Source organism: Homo sapiens, chromosome 3, assembly GCF_000001405.40.
Source record: "Homo sapiens chromosome 3, GRCh38.p14 Primary Assembly".
Lineage (NCBI taxonomy): Eukaryota > Metazoa > Chordata > Mammalia > Primates > Hominidae > Homo > Homo sapiens.
The window spans coordinates 196,972,138-196,988,817 of NC_000003.12; the positions used below are offsets into that span (position 1 = coordinate 196,972,138).

A 16,680-nucleotide genomic window follows, 5' to 3' on the forward strand; every position below is an offset into this window, starting at 1 on the left:
GGTCTCGATCTCCTGACCTCGTGATCCATCCGCCTCGGCCTCCCAAAGTGCTGCGATTACAGGCGTGAGCCACCACACCCAGACTTTTTTTTTTTTTTTTTTTTTTGGGATGGAGTCTCGCTCTGTCGCCCAGGCTGGAGTGCAGTGGTGCAATCTTGGCTCACTGCAACCTCCGTCTCCTGGGTTCAAGTGATTCTCCTGCCTCAGTCTCCTGAGTAGCTGGGATTACAGGCTTGCGCCACCACACCCAACTAATTTTTGTATTTTGGGAGAGATGGGGTTTCACCATGTTGGTCAGGCTGGTCTTGAACTCCTAACCTTGTGATCCATCCGCCTTGGCCTCCCAAAGTGCTGGGATTACAGGTTTGAGCCACTGCGCCTGGCAGCATGGTAAGAAATTGTTTTTCAAAGTGGTCATACTATTTGACATTACCACCAGCAATGCATGAGAGCCCATAGCATTCTATGGTTTGTCTTTTCATTTTCTTTTTTTCCATGAGACAGGGTCTCATGCTGTCTCCCAGGCTGCAGTGCAGTGGTATAATTGTAGCTAAATGCAATCTCGAACTCCTGGGCTCAAGTGATCCTCCCACCTCAGCCTTCTGAGTAGCTGGGATGATAGGCACACGCCACTATGCCTGGCTAATTATTTTTATTTCAATTTTTTATCTTTAGTAGAGATGAGATCTCGCTATGTTGCCCAGGCTGGTCTTGAACTCCTGGGCTCAAGTGATCCTACTGCCTCAGCTTCCCAAAATGCTGGGAATACAGGTGTGAGCCACCACACCCACCTGTTTTTTCATTTTCCTAATGTTATCTTTCAAAGAGCCAAAGTTTCTAATTGTGACAGCGTCCAATTTATTAAACATTTTCCTTGATTGCCTACCTTAAGGTAAGGTTGCAAATATTTTCTCCTATATTTTCTTCTAGAATTGTATAGTTTTGGCTTTTTGTTTAGGTCTATGATACACTCAAACTAACTTTATGGGTGGTGTGAGGTAAGAATCAAGGGTCTTATTTATTTATTTATTTATTTATTTATTTAAGATGGAGTCTCATTGTCTCCCTCTCCCTCGCCCTCGCCCTCGCCCTCGCCCTCGCCCTCTCCCTCTCCCCACGGTCTCCCTCTGATGCCGAGCTGAAGCTGGACGGTACTGCTGCCTGATTCTCCTGCCTCAGCCTGCCGAGTGCCTGCGATTGCAGGTGCGCGCCGCCACGCCTGACTGGTTTTCGTATTTTTTTGGTGGAGACGGGGTTTCGCTGTGTTGGCCGGGCTGGTCTCCAGCCCCTAACCGCGAGTGATCCGCCAGCCTCGGCCTCCCGAGGTGCCGGGATTGCAGACGGAGTCTCGTTCACTCAGTGCTCAATGGTGCCCAGGCTGGAGTGCAGTGGCGTGATCTCGGCTCACTACAACCTCCACCTCCCAGCCGCCTGCCTTGGCCTCCCAAAGAGCCGAGATTGCAGCCTCTGCCCGGCCGCCACCCCGTCTGGGAAGTGAGGAGCGTCTCTGCCTGGCCGCCCATCGTCTGGGATGTGAGGAGCCCCTCTGCCTGGCTGCCCAGTCTGGAAAGTGAGGAGCGCCTCTTCCCGGCCGCCATCCCATCTAGGAAGTGAGGAGCGTCTCTGCCCGGCCGCCCAACGTCTGAGATGTGGGGAGCGCCTCCGCCCCGCCGCCCCGTCTGGGAGGTGTGCCCAACAGCTCATTGAGAACGGGCCATGATGACAATGGCGGTTTTGTGGAATAGAAAAGGGGGAAAGGTGGGGAAAAGATTGAGAAATCGGATGGTTGCCGTGTCTGTGTAGAAAGAGGTAGACATGGGAGACTTTTCATTTTGTTCTGTACTAAGAAAAATTCTTCTGCCTTGGGATGCTGTTGATCTATGACCTTGCCCCCAGCCCTGTGCTCTCTGAAACATGTGCTGTGTCCACTCAGGGTTAAATGGATTAAGGGCGGGGCAAGATGTGCTTTGTTAAACAGATGCTTGAAGGCAGCATGCTCGTTAAGAGTCATCACCACTCCCTAATCTCAAGTACCCAGGGACACAAACACTGCGGAAGGCCGCAGGGCCCTCTGCCTAGGAAAACCAGAGACCTTTGTTCACTTGTTTATCTGCTGACCTTCCCTCCACTATTGTCCTGTGACCCTGCCAAATCCCCCTCTGCGAGAAACACCCAAGAATGATCAATTAAAAAAAAAAAAAAAAAAAAGATGGAGTCTCGCTCTGTTGCCCAGGCTGGAGTGCAGTTGCATGATCTCGGCTCACTGCAACCTCCGCCTCCTGGGTTCAAGTGATTCTCCTGCCTCAGCCTCCTGAGTAGCTGGGATTACAGGCACCCGCCACAACACCTAGCTAACTTTTGTATTTTTAGTAGAGACAGGGTTTCAACATGTTGGCCAGGCTGGTCTCGAACTCCTGGCCTCAAGTGATCCACTGGCCTTGGCCTCCCAAAGTGCTGAGATTACAGGCGTGAGCCACCGTGCCCGGCCAAGGCTCATTTTTAGATATAGATCTAGATATCCACTTTTCTAGTACCATTTGTCGAGAAAGCTATCTTTACCTTGACACCTTTGTCAAAAATCACCTGTGGTTAATCCAGTGCTGGAGATAAGCAGGAGGTGCTCTGGGTGCCTTGAGAAGGGGGCACCCAATTAATCCAGCCAGGTCTAGTCCAGGAAGCCTTCCCAGAGGGGCAACAAAGGAATCCAGGCAGAGGGTCTGTTGGTAGCTTAGAGTTGTGTTTTTGTGGATTGTGTAGGTATAGCGGGGTGTGGGGAAGACGTAGAGCTAGAAGTAGGCAGGACCCAGATTGGGGTGGGGCGGGGACCTCATGTGCTTTGCTAAGGAGCATGCACTTTTTCCTGGGAGTGATGAGGGGCCACCGAGAGGCTTAGGCAGGGAAATAACACAGCCAGACTCTGGCAGTTTGGAACATTGACTCCGGCTGAGGAGGAAGGACTGAAGGAGGTTAAAATGGAGGCAGGCTGGCCAGTAACTGGGAGGTGATGATAGGAAGGGAAATTTCCTCTGATTATTCTTTTTGTTTTCTCTTTTAGTTAGAGGTGGAGTCTCACTAAGTTGCCCAGGCTGGTCTCAAACTCTTGGCCTGAAGCAACCCTCCTGCCTTGGCCTCCCAAAGTGCTGGGATTATAGGCATGAGCCACCATGCTTGGTCTACCTTGTTTTAAGAGTTGACTTTCGTATCATGCTGGAGAATGACCTATTCTAAATAAATGCCGTGGAATTCAGTAGGTAGAAGCCACAGGACTTGGTGACTGTTTTGGAGTGAGACTGACAGAAAGATGTTCTGTCTGGGGGAGTGGTTCTCAGCCTTCTTTCAGACTGATCATGCTGGACTTCCTGCCAGAGGCTCTGTGTCTGAGGGCCAGCAGGGAGGCCCAGGCCTCCGTGTTTTACAGGCCTCCACGGTGGCTTCTGATGTACAGCCAGCATTGAGAACCACTGCTCCAAGTTGACAGCAGATCTCATACTTGGCAAATGGGTGGGTGATAGTTCCAGTCCCGACACAGGGAGCACAGGGGGTGGAGCAGATTTAGGGGGAGTTTAAATTTGGTTTTAACTACTTGACACTTTGAGGTACTGTTGGGAGATTTCCATGCAGAGGAAAGTTGAATGTGTGGGTTTAAAGCTCAGAAGGGAAGGTGGACTGGGAAAACAGTCTGGTTGGACATCAGCACATGGAGCAGGGGTTAACCAGGAGCTTGTAAACCCAGGGAGTTATACAGACAGTTTTATGGGTATGCATACATGTACACTGTTTTTCCTGGGGCAAATAGGGTTTCTGATTTCCCAGGGCCCATGACCCCACAAAGGTTAAGAGCCTCTGATGAGGACAGTGGTTGATCCATGGGACAAAATAATATTACTGTGGAACCCTGCTGGGGCAAGAAGGGAAAAGGCCCCTTCTTTTCTCTGGCCCAGCTGGCAGGTGCTAGCTATCTGCCTCCCCTCAGGCCCCTGCCTGCCAGGGATCTATACCTCTCTAGCTGCCACAGCAACGCTTTGTCACCCTTTAGGTTCTTGTGTTTGATCGAAGTCTTTTCTCCTTTAATTTACATTTTTAACCAAAGTAATATATGTGCACAATTGTAAAAGTTAGGATAGATACACAAAACTTTTTTTTTTGTTTTGTTTTTTTTGAGATAGAGTCTCACTCTGTCACCCAGGCTGGAGTGCAGTGGTGCGATCTCGGCTCACTGCAACTTCCGCCTCCCAGGTTCAAGCGACTCTCCTGCCTCAGCCTCCCGAGTAGCTGGGATTACAGGCGCCCACCACCACGCCCGGCTGATTTTTGTATTTTTAGTGGAGATGGGGTTTCACCATGTTGGCCAGGCTGGTCTCAAACTCCTGACCTCAAGTAATCCTGCCCACCTTGGCCTCCCAAAGTGCTGGGATTACAGGCGTGAGCCACCATGCCCGGCCCACAAAACTTAAAATGAGAAACAGCCCCGAATATAAGAGCCTTTCCTTAGTCTGAGATGTAATTGAGTAACTCTAAGGCCTTCTCTGGGTCAGCCTCACTGTCATCTTCCCTCAAATAGTCCAGCCCCGCTTCTCCCTGTCATCAAGTCCTCTCCCCTTCCTTTGTCCCCTCTCACCTTTCCTCTTCCTTGTCCTCATTGTCACCATTGGTAAGCACGACTGAGCACCCAAAGGGTACCAAGACACTGTAGGAAGCTGGAGGATGGGTGCAGAGCCCATGCTGTAAGCATCTTTGTCTCGCTCTTTCTCTGCCCCAGGCCCGCATGGAGTGGCACAAAGTTCCCAGGCAGAACCAGGCTCAGGAACAGCTGAAGTCCTGGTCTGGCCTTCCTGTGGTTTTCCTAACTCACCAAGTTACAGGTCAGTTAGAGCAGCAGCGCTTCTGACCTCGGTGAGGAGTTGGAAGGATCTGGACGGGAAGTCAGAGCCTGGGTAACAGTCCTGGCTCTGCCACCCACTAGATGTGTAACCCCAAGTCAGCTGATTCCTCTCCAGGTGCCTCGGCTTCCGCATCTGTCGTATGACCCGTGATCTCTGGGAAGCCACACAGCTCAAGGTCTTGGGGGTAAGACACCTGATATAGCCCCGACCCTCTCAGGCCACGATGGTGCCGATAGTCCCATGGTGTCAGCTCATGGGACATCTGCAGAGACTGGCCATTGTGGCTCCCTTCTGACTCTGCATTCATGGGGAGTCCGCTGCCCAGAGCCCATATTAGGAGCCCTGGGGGAGGACGCATCCTGCCTGCTTTGCCATTTCCTCAGCCTGACTGGCAAGCAGCCTTTTTCCTCCCAGCCTCTACCCCGCCTACTGTGTTTCATGGCAGCATGGAATGGTAATGTTTGGACTTTGCCATTCAAAGGATTTGAAGGATATTTTTATCTTTCAAGAAGATTTGAATCAAAACAGTGAATCCAAATTATACAAATACTGATTAATTTTTAGATAATTTTCCAGAATGAATTTCACAAAGCCAACGATTAATTACTTGATCAATGTTCTGTGTAGCACACAGTTTTCCTTTTTATTTTAATGAACTTCCTTTAATGCAGTTTTTGAAACTATTACTTTATTTATTTATTCATTTATTGTTGAGATGGAGTCTCACTCCGTCACCCAGGCTGGAGTGCAGTGGCACAATCTTGGCTCACTGCAACCTCTGCCTCCCAGGTTCAAGCAAGTCTCCTGTCTCAGCCTCCCAAGTAACTGGTGTCTGGCTGATTTTTGTATTTTTAGTAGAGACAAGGTTTCACCATATTGGTCAGGCTGGTCTCAAACTCCTGACCTCAGGTGATCCACCTGCCTCGGCCTCCCAAAGTGCTGGGATTACAGGCGTGAGTCGCCGTGCCGGGACTGAAACTATTACTTTAATATCCTGCTGTAATGGTTCCACTAACATCCTCTGTTCTTTGGGTTTTGGTTTTTGTTTTTGAGACAGGGTCTTGCTGTGTCACCCAGGCTAGAGTGCAGTGGCACGATCTCAGGTCACTGCAGCCTCGACCTCCCAGGCTCAAGCTATCCTCCCACCTCAGCCTTCTGAGTAGCTGGGACTACAGGCAAGCGCCACCACTCCCGGCTAATTTTTGTATTTTTTGTAGAGATGGGGTCTCACCGTGTTGCCCAAGCTGGTCTGGAACTCCTGGGCTCTAGCGATCTGCCCGTCTTTGCCACCCAAAGTGCTGGGATTACAGGCGTGAGCCACCACACCCGGCTCATCTTCTGTTCTGCTGTGATGTGAAGTGCTGAGAAGTTCAGGTGTGTGCACCTAGGTCAGTCTTGCCTGGGGACTTCCCAGAGTTCGGATCTCTGGCTTGGGAGCCTCACCTTCTCCCTAACGTGGAAAGGGAACCTGCATGTGAAGAACATGATTCTGAGCCAGGCTCTGAGCTCAAACCTGGGTCTGCCTCCCTTGTCTGTGTGATTTTGCGCCGCTTGCTGAATCCCCTGAGCCTCATCTTTCTCACCTCTAAAATGGGAATAATAATATTACCTACCTGCTGACTCAGGAGAGCTGTTTGTATTATATAAGTATACTTGATTGTTGCGACAAACACAGTAACATTAAATAATCACTTGTGTGAAACTTCTATTCCCAGCACGTCATGGAGGCTCCGGAAGCGTCACTTACCCTGTCCCTGTCGGCATCATCATCGTCAGCATCGTTTAAGAATCAAGCCCTGTTTTCTTCTTCTGACCACTGGGTGGCTCCGCAGAATTGGTTCTGTGATTATCGCGCTCTCAAAGGCGGCCTTGGGGTTTGGGTGAACAGTATGATAATGCTGGTTTGTCGTAGGTCAAAAACAGCAAATTATCTGCAATGTCATGTGGTTCTACCTAATGCTTGCGGTGTCCCTGCCCTGGGCTGTTTCCCTTCGGCTTCATCTCAGCGAATCACGAACACATTCCACGGACTCACCTCCTTGGAAGCCTTTTGGATTCTCTGCGCAGCCCAAGCTGCCCGGGATCTGGGAGGCCAGGCTGAGTCTATGGCCCCGGAGCCCGCCCGGACTTGCCACTGGAGACCTGGGGCCAAGGGCCCATCCGAGCTGGGAAGAGAGGGCTAGAAAGAGAGCATTAGAATCGAGGGGCTGGGTGCGGAGGCTCACGCCTGTCATCCCAGCACTTTGGGAGGCCGAGGGAGATGGATCACCTGAGGTTAGGAATTCAAGAGCAGCCTGGCCAACATGGTGAAACCCCGTCTCTACAAAAATTCAACAATTAGCCGGGCATGATGGCGTGCACGTGTAGTCCCAGCTACTCGGGAGGCTGAGGCAGGAGAATCGCTTGAACCCGGGAGGCGGAGGTTGCAGTGAACCCAGATTGCACCATTGCACTCCAGCCTGGGCGACAGAGTGAGACTCTGTCTCAAAAAAAAAAAAAAAGAAAAAAAAAGAATTGAGGTCAGAGGGGGCAATCACAGGAGTTTGATTTGTAGAAGCAGAAGGCTCCCATTTTGTATTTGCTGAGCCCGGGAAGCATTTCCCAAGAAACTCAAAAGACTCGCCATGCCCCGCTGACCCTGACCTTCTGCTCCTTGTGTCTCCTTTCTCAGGAGCGCAGGGCTGGCTTTGGGCCTCCAGCATTGTGAAAGAAGTTGAGAAACATTAGAAAGATCTCAGATCATTCCCAGAATTGCCTAGTGAGTCTAATCGTGGTGTTGAGTCACCTGGAGGCTGGAGGGGGCCCCAAGCCCTACAGCTCCGGGCCTGAGGCGGGTCCTCAGACAGTCCCTGGGCTGAACTGAAGCTAAGCAAAGCTCTGCGTTCGCAGGGAGGTCCCCGTGGGCTCTTTGCCTGTGTCTTTCTAGCCAGAAGGTCCCAGGGTTTTCCGTATGTGGAGGAACTTGGGGTGCCAAAAACACAGGAGCACTTCATGAGCAGCTTTTTCTTATTTGTGCATTTATTTAACATTCTCTTCAGAGATAAGGGCACATATAAGTTTCGTTGTTTTTATGAATTTAAGGAATTTCCTTTTCTTTTCTTTTCTTTTCTTTTCTTTTTGAGACGGAGTCTCACTCTGTTGCCCAGGCTGGAGTGCAGTGGCACAGTCTTGGCTCACTGCAACTTCTTCCTCCGTGGTTTAAGCGATTCTCCTGCCTCAGCCTCCCGAGTAGCTGGGATTACAGGAATGCGCCACTGCGCCCAACTAATTTTTGTATTTTTAGTAGAGACGGGTTTCACCACGTTGGCCAGGCTGGTCTTGAACTTCTGGCCTCAAGTGATACGCCTGACTCGTGCTGGGATTACAGGTGTGAGCCACCGTGCCAGACCTAAGGAGATTTTTTTCTAAAAAGGTTACCTTCCAGAAATTTAAGAATGGTTTAATATTATGAAATCTATCAATGTGATTGATCATATTAATATTTAGCATATAAAAGAGAAAAATGATGTGATAATCCCCACAGATACTGAAAAATTCAACAGTTTATTTTTGGTAAACACTCTTAATAAAATAGGAACAGGTATATTTTCTTAATACGAAACAATATACTTATCTCAGTATAAAAGCCAGCATCATACTTAATGGGGACACAATAAAAGTTCTCCCAAACTTGAAGTCAAGAACAAAAGAGGTTTATCCATTTTTACAGCTATTACTTAATATTTTTCTGGATGTGTTAGCCAATATAATTTGACAAGAGGTAGAATATAGAGATAGAGAAATCAGAATGGAGGAAAAATTATTATTTTCAGATCAAAATAACTGTATACTTGGAAAACACAAAGGATTTTATTCAGAAATTACACACCAAATGCTGGTGAGGATGAAAAGAAATAGGAAGGGCCATTCATTGTTGGTGGGAATGCAAAATGGTATACAGCCAGTTTGGAAGAGAGTTGGCAGTTCCTTAGAAAACTAAACATGCTCTTACCACACAATCCAGCAGTCGAGCTCCTTGATATTTATCCAAATGAACTGAAAACTCAGGTCTGCACAAAAGCCTTATATGAGGCCAGGCGTGGTGGCTCACGCCTGTAATCCCAGCACTTTGGGAGGCCGAGGCAGGCGGATCACGAGGTCAGGAGATCGAGACCATCCTGGCTAACATGGTGAAACCCCATCTCTACTAAAAATACAAAAAATTAGCCGGGCGTGGTGGCAGGCGCCTGTAGTCCCAGCTACTTGGGAGGCTGAGGCAGGAGAATGGCGTGAACCTGGGAGGCAGAGCTTGCGGTGAGCCGAGATTGCGCCACTGCACTCCAGCCTGGGTGACAGAGCGAAACTCTGTCTCAAAAAAGAAAGCCTGTACATGAATGTTTACAGCAACTTTAACCATAATTGCCAAAACTTGGTAGCAACCAAGCTGTTCTTCAACAGGTGAATGCATGAACTCTGGTACACTCAGACTGTGGAATATTACTCAGCACTAAAAAGAAATAAGCTGTCAAGCTGTGAAAAGACATAGAGGAATCTTAAACACGTATTACTAAAGTGAAAAAAGCCCATCTGAAAAGGTTATATACTATGTGATTCCAACTATATGACATTCTGGAAAAAGCAAAACTATGGAGACATTAAAAAGATCAGTGGTTGTCAGGGGTTGTGGGAGAGAGGATGAATAGGTAGGGCCCACAGGATTTTCAGAGAAGTGAAACTATCCTATATGATACCACAGTGGTAGATGTCAGGACACGTCTCAACCCATAGAACGGGCAACACCAAGAGTAAACCCTAACGTGAACTGTGGACTTTGGTTGACAACGACGTGTCAACATAGGTTCATCGGCCGTAACAAATGTACCACTCTGGTGCAGGATGGTGGGGGAGGTGGTATGTGTGGCGAGGGTTTGGGGGCATGTGGGAAATCTCTGTACTTTCCACGTAGTTTTGCTGTGAACCTAAAGTTGCTCTAAAAAAATAAAATCTAGCCGGGCACGGTGGCTCGTGCTTCTAATCCCAACACTTTGGGAGGCCGAGGTGGGTGGGTTGCTTGAGGTCAGGAGTTCGTAACCAGCCTGGCCAACGTGGTGAAACCCCGTCTTTACTAAAAATACAAAAATTAGCCAGGCGTGGTGGCAGGTGCCTGTAATCCCAGCTACTCAGGAGGCTGAGGCAGGAGAATCGCTTGAACCCGGGAGGCGGAGATTGCAGTGGGCCGAGATCGCGCCACTGCACTCCAGCCTGGCGGCAGAGCGAGACTCCATCTCGAAATAAAAATAAAAATAAATAAATAAATAAATAAAATCTATTAAGAAAGTGTTACAATAATTCAGTAAAATTAAATTCAGTAAATTTACTGAATAATTCTGTAAAGTGTCTAGTTTGATATTAATATTCAGAAACTGTAGACTTTACATAAGTAAAGAACAACTAGTTATTAATAGAAAAACTAATGGAAGAAAGTTCATTTAAGTCCATTTACAAAAACAACAACAACAAAAGCAACAATGATGACACAAAATGAAACAATTTGGAACAAACTTAATGAGATACTTGAAACATATTTATGAATTAAACTTTCAAATTCTAAGAGATACAAAAGATAATTTAAATATATAGAAAGACATATCACATGCTAATTTTTATTTATATATATATATTTTAGAAACAGGATCTTGCTCCGTTGCCCAGGCTGGAATGCACTGGCACAATCTTGATTCTCTGCAGCCTCGGCCTCCTGGGCTCAAGTGATCCTCCTACCTCAGTCTCCGGAGTAGCTGGGGCTACAGGTGCACACCACAATGCCTGGCCATTTTTTAAATTTTTTTTTCGTGGAGATGGGGTTTCGCCATGTTGCCCAGGCTGGTCTCAAACTCCTGTGCTCAAGCGATCCACCCACCTTGGCCTCCCAAAGTGCCAGGATTGCAGGCATGAGCCACCATGCCCAGCTGAAATACCATTTTCAACTCTTGGTTTAGTAAAAATCACACTATCAGAGAGATGGGGAAATGGGTACTTTCTTATGTTGCTGGTGACTATAAACTGGAAAGCCTCTGAGTAGAGCAATTTGATGATATCTATAAATACAATTACAATAATTTTAAAAGACAATATTAGAATTTATATACATTATTTCCATTTACTCAGCATTCTTTTTATCCTGTATCTTAGATTGCTCTTCTGAGATCAATTTTTTTCTTTCATTAGTTCAACTTTCTTGATGACAAACTCCCCATTTTTGCCACCCTCAATCTTGAAAGATAGTCTTGCAGGGTTCATCATTCCAAGTTGACAGTTATTTTCTGTCAACATTTGCAAGACTGTATTCACTATCTTCTGACTTCTGTTGTGTCTGCTGAGAAGTTGGCTGTCTTTCTAACTGTTAACCTTTATGGGTGACTTGCCCTTTCACTCTGGTTGTCTTTAAGATCTTACCTTTGTCTTTTGCATTTTCATTTTCACTGAGATGTGTCTAGGTAAGGATTTATTTTTACTTATCCTACTTGGGATGCATTTTTGTTCCTAGACTTCTGATATGTTTTTCACGAGTTCTGAAGATGTCATGGCCATTATCTCTGTGAATATTTTATTTCCCTCATCCTCTCTGTTCTACATTTTTGAGGACCTGGCTACACATACATGTGCATCTTCACACACACACATCCTCACTTGTGCTTCCTTTATGTTTTTCTTCTATTTGTCTTTCAGGGTTGCAACTTTGGTAGCTTGTTAACTCCCAATTCCCTAATTGGTATTTTAAGATTTGTATGTTTCATTTCAAAAGTTTTTAAAAGCTATCTGTTCATTCCTGATAATCTCTTGTTGCCTGCTCATACATACATGCATACATGTACTTTTTAAACATAGATGTATCTTAAAATTTTTATTTGGAAATAACTTTAGATTTGTGGGAGAATTGTAAAGGTAGTATGGGTAGTACAGATTTCTTTCATGTTAACATCTTATGTATCCACAATATATTTACCAAAACTAAGAAATTAACATTGATATAACATTACTAACTGAACTGAAGTCTTTATTTGGATTTCTCCAGTTTTTTCACGAATGCCCAATTCTGTTCCAGGACCCCAGCCAGGATACTGTGATGTTCTCAGTCACCATGACTCCTAAGAGCCTTCTCTTCAGTGGTGCATTTCACAGGGTTCTAAAACACACTTTCAAACCAGCAGAAGGAAAGGGAAAAAAGTTAACAAAACATATGGTAAATAGGATATATAAAATAAGATACAAATAAGTCCTAAAGTAACAGTATGAATAATAACTATAAATAAAATGTCAGTAGCTAAATAAAAAGGCAGAAAATATCTAGGCAGAAACTCTTAGTCTTGATACTGAGAACTGTGAGGAATATACTTAAAAGGATAGAGAAAGACTGAAAAGAAACAGACAGATAAATGATATAGCAGGTAAATATGAACCAAGAAAGAGTAGTGATATTAACAGCTAAAAAATATAATTGAAGGTAAAACCATCATATTATCAAAGAGAGATATAGCATATGATAAAATGCACAAACACACACACACGCACACACATGCAAAACAATAGTCTTGAAAAAACTCTGAAGCAACAGCTGGCAGAACTGTAGGAAGAAACAGCCCAACAATTGTAGTTGGAGGTCTTGAAGCCACCTTCTCAGGAAGAGATAGTTCAATAGAAAAAGCAAGCGAAGGCATAGATGATTAGATTAATTTAGTTCATACCTTAAGAGTAAAGGTGGATCGGGGACGGGCGCGTTGGCTCACGCCTGTAATCCCAACACTTTGGGAGGCTGAGGCGGGTGGATCACCTGAGGTCAGAAGTTTGAGAACAGCCTGGCCAACATGGAGAAACCAAGACTCTACTAAAAATAACAAAAAATTAGCTGGGCATGGGGGTGGGCGCCTGTAATCCCAGCTACTCAGGAGGCTGAGGCACGAGAATCGCTTGAGCGCAGGATGCGGAGGTTGCAGTGAGCCGAGATGGCGCCACTGCACGCCAGCCTGGGCCACAGAGTGGTACCTGTTTGTCTATCTCCCAGATATGGAAGCCAGGATGGAATCCTCTATGAATTAGAAACACATACTAAAGTATGAATGGTTTTTAAAACGTAGTGTTAAGTGAACAATAGAGTGAGAAAGAGAATGCAATTTATTAGCACAGGACAGGGTATGTTAAAGACACACACACACACAAACATGCGTTTGACAACGATGCAAGGATACACATCAGACGCATTGCAATGGATGGCCGTGGTGGGGTGAGGGGGAGGTGGGGACAGGAATTGGGCCCAGAGATGAAGTGGGGAAGAGGAATGAAACAGGAGAAGGGCCTTGAGGCTGGTGCTGGCAATAAACTCTGAACTGAGGTGGAAGATGAGCCCAGCCCTGTACACACCTTCCAGTTACAGACGTGATTACAATCTTTCCTATCAGCAGAAAGGCCTGTGCGTGTGACCGTAGGTGTCATGTGGCCAGCAGGCAGCAGCTTCTCCCTAGAAAATCACAAGCTGGGGCCCGAAGACAGGTCTGGAGGCAGGGGCTGCACCTTCCTGCCAGGAGCGCGGTGTCAGTGGCCCTCCCAGCCCAGACAAAGTCCCCTCAAAGCTGGCCTCTCTGTCTTGGGGGAAGCATGGCATACTGGCCACAGCTTAGCTTGAGTTTCTGGATTTCTCAAGCAACAAGCTTGAAATCCCCAAGAGCAAAGTTCTCCAGGCTGGTCCCAAGGCTGGGTGATGTTTGTCTTTCCAGCTCCCTTTCCCATCTTGCCTCCTGTTCCCAGAGGAACATCTGTGTTGGGAGCAAGCGAAGCACAGGGATGGGCCACAGGAAATCTCAGAGAGAAACAGTCCCGAATGACAACCTTCAGGGCATCAAGGAGTTTTTTAAAAATATAAAGTTACCTAAGAACTTGGATAGACATTTCTCCAAAGAAGATATTCAAATGGCCAGTAAGTACATGACAAGACGCTCAACGTCATTAATCATTAAGGAAATGCAAATCCAAACCACAACGAAATACCACTTCACACCCATTAGGTTGACTATTATAAAAAAGAAAATAAATGTTAGTGAGGATGTGAAGAAATGGGAACTCTTGTGCCCTGTTGGTAGGAATGTCAAATGGCGCCACTACTGTGGAAAACAGTATGATGACTCCCCCCAGATTGAACATGGACTTTCCACAGGATGCAGCAATCCCACTTCTGAGTATATAGACAAGGACTTGAAAGCAGGAACTCAAACAGAGATGTGTATACTCATGCCCATAGCAGCACTGAAAAGATGGAAGGAACCCAAGTCCCCATTGACAGATGAATGCATAAACAAAATCTATATATTATATACATAGGAATATTATATATTACCTGTTTATATAATCTATAATATTTTAACCCTGTATAATATTCCTATATATAATATAATATGTAGAAATATTTACATAGTATATAAAATATTATTTTTATATTATTTATGTTATATATAATAATATATTATACAACATATTATATATTATATATCTACATATAATATATTATATATAGGAATATTATACAGCCTTAAAAAGGAAGGAATTTTTTTTTTTTTTTTTTAGAAACTGATTATTTTCCATCAACCTTATTTCCATGTTGCGTAAGAGCCTGTGCGAGAACAGCTTAGGACCATTCAGTGGTTGCTCCTACCCCTTCAGTGGCCTGAGCAGTGGGAGCTGCAGACCAGTCTTCCGTGGCAGGCTGAGTGCTCCAGTCTTCAGTAGGGAGCTGCTGAATAGGCACAGAGGGCACCTGCACGCCGTCAGGCCAGTCTGCAACCTCAGGCTGAGTAGCAGTGAACTCAGGAGCTGGAGCAGTCCATTCACCCTGAAATTCCTCCTTGGTCACAGTGTTTTCAGCAGCAGCCTGCTCTTTTTCAATCTCTTCAGGATCTCTGTAGAAGTAGAGATCAGGCATGACCTCCCAGGGGTGTTCACGGGAAATGCTGCCACGCATGCACAGAGCTTCCCGAGCCAGCATCCACCACATCAAACCCACTGAGCGAGCTCCCTGGTTGCATGGGATGGCAAAGTCCACATAGCACAGAGGAGAATCTGTGTTACAGAGCAATGGTGGGTAGGTTAACATAAGATGCCTCCGTTCTGAGAGGCTGCTGGTCAGCCCTGGGGTCAGTAACCACAAGAAGCCGTGGCTCCCAGAAGGCTGCCTGGATCTGGTTAGTGAAGGTTCCAGGAGTGAAGGGGCCAGCGATTGGAGTGGCTCCGGTGGCAGCAGCAAACTTCAGCACGACCCTCTGGCCAGTATTCCTGGAGGATATAACACTGACAGCAGCAGCGTTTTCAATGGCAACAATGGCACGAGCTGCCAGCAGAAGCTTCTTCCAGGTCCTCGTCAGATTTATGATGTAGATGCCATCACTTTTCCTTTTATAGACATACTGTTCCACCTGGAAGTCAAGATTGCTGCCACCTAACTGGGTTCCTGCTGCAAGGAACTTAAGGACATCCTCTTTCTTCATTTGCAGGACATCAAGGGCTCCGGACACTGTGAAAATTTCCCTTTAAATTACAGTGAGAATCCAGAACAATGCCGGATGGAACCCTCTGCAGGTAGCATGGAAAGGCAAAAGGAAGGAAATTCTGATACATGCTACAACGTAGATGAAACTTGAAGCCTGAGTTTCAAGGAGAATAACCAGTCACTAAAGGACAAATACAGTATGTATATCCCACTTAATATGAAGTGCCTAAAATGATCAAGTTCATAAAGGCAGGAAGTAGAATGGTGGTTGCCAGGAGCTGACGGGCTGGGGAAATGGGGAGTTTGTGTTTAATGGGTCAGAGTTTCAGTTGGGGATAAAAGGGTTCTGGAGATGGGTGGTGGGTGATGGCTGCACAACAGTGTCAATGCCACAGAACTGTACACTTACAATGGTGAAAATGGTGTATTTTATCACAATTTTTAAAAGTTGCCTAAGAAGAGACTAAGCAAAGCAGATGCATTTCAAAGCAGTCCCCACCCCTCTCCTTTGTGAAGTCTCAGAAGGAACCTGAAGTTGGAGTGGAAAGAAAGGAAGCCTGGCTGTTAATAAGTTCTTAGCCTCTGATGGAAATGAAACAGGAATAGAGTGAGGCCTCATGCGTTTGGAGTCCTGAGACTCTCCTGGGTGAGGGCAGATCCTGTTGTCCTCTGCTGAGCAGGATCCACCTCCTCCGTCTTTCTGCAGGGGGCCAGGCCTGGAAACAGGGGTGTACATGCTTGCCCTTGTGTACACACATCCGTCACATCCACATGGGGACCTGCCCGTGTGTTTGGAGTATGTTACACCATTCTCCACGCCTTAGTATCTGGGGCAGGTGGCGCTATTTTTCCCTACAAGTCACTCCTTCCTAGCCATACCCATGCTCTGCTGCAGGGCGAAGGAGCCTTCAGCCAGGAGGGCTAATGGCAGGGCAGGTCTTTAGGCAGAACAGCTCTCTGCTCTAGGTTACCCCCAGCAAGAGGAGGACGGGACCTCACACCCTGATGAAGGCTCAGATGAGCAGCCACTGCAGGCTGAAAAGTTTTGCTGTGGAATTCTGTCCTCTCAAAGATAAGCACAGTCCCCAGCCTGCCTCCAGCACTGGCGTGGCCAGCACTTTTGTTATCAGTGATGAGCCCTGCTCTGACAAACGCTGACCAGCCTCCTGCTCCTGGGGGCCAACTGGCCGGTGTCCTTGAGATGATTGTGGAGAACTGCAGCAGACGCGATAAAGGCAATTGCACCTGGACTTTGGTTCCAATGTCCTGGAGACTGCAGGCAGG

The 16,680-nt window shown here is 46.6% G+C and overlaps 1 pseudogene, besides 1 other annotated feature; it reads right to left on the reverse strand.

Annotated features, from left to right (window-relative positions):
- Positions 9,636–9,695: an enhancer, noted in NCBI's record as "active region_21106". NCBI's record gives its function as "activates an Ori minimal core promoter by ATAC-STARR-seq in GM12878 lymphoblastoid cells {active_cell/tissue: GM12878}" and the evidence as "EXISTENCE:reporter gene assay evidence [ECO:0000049][PMID:35858748]".
- LOC124909480 (40S ribosomal protein SA-like) lies at positions 11,752–15,499 on the reverse strand (annotated as a pseudogene).
- Between the last annotated feature and the right edge of the window lie 1,181 nt (positions 15,500–16,680).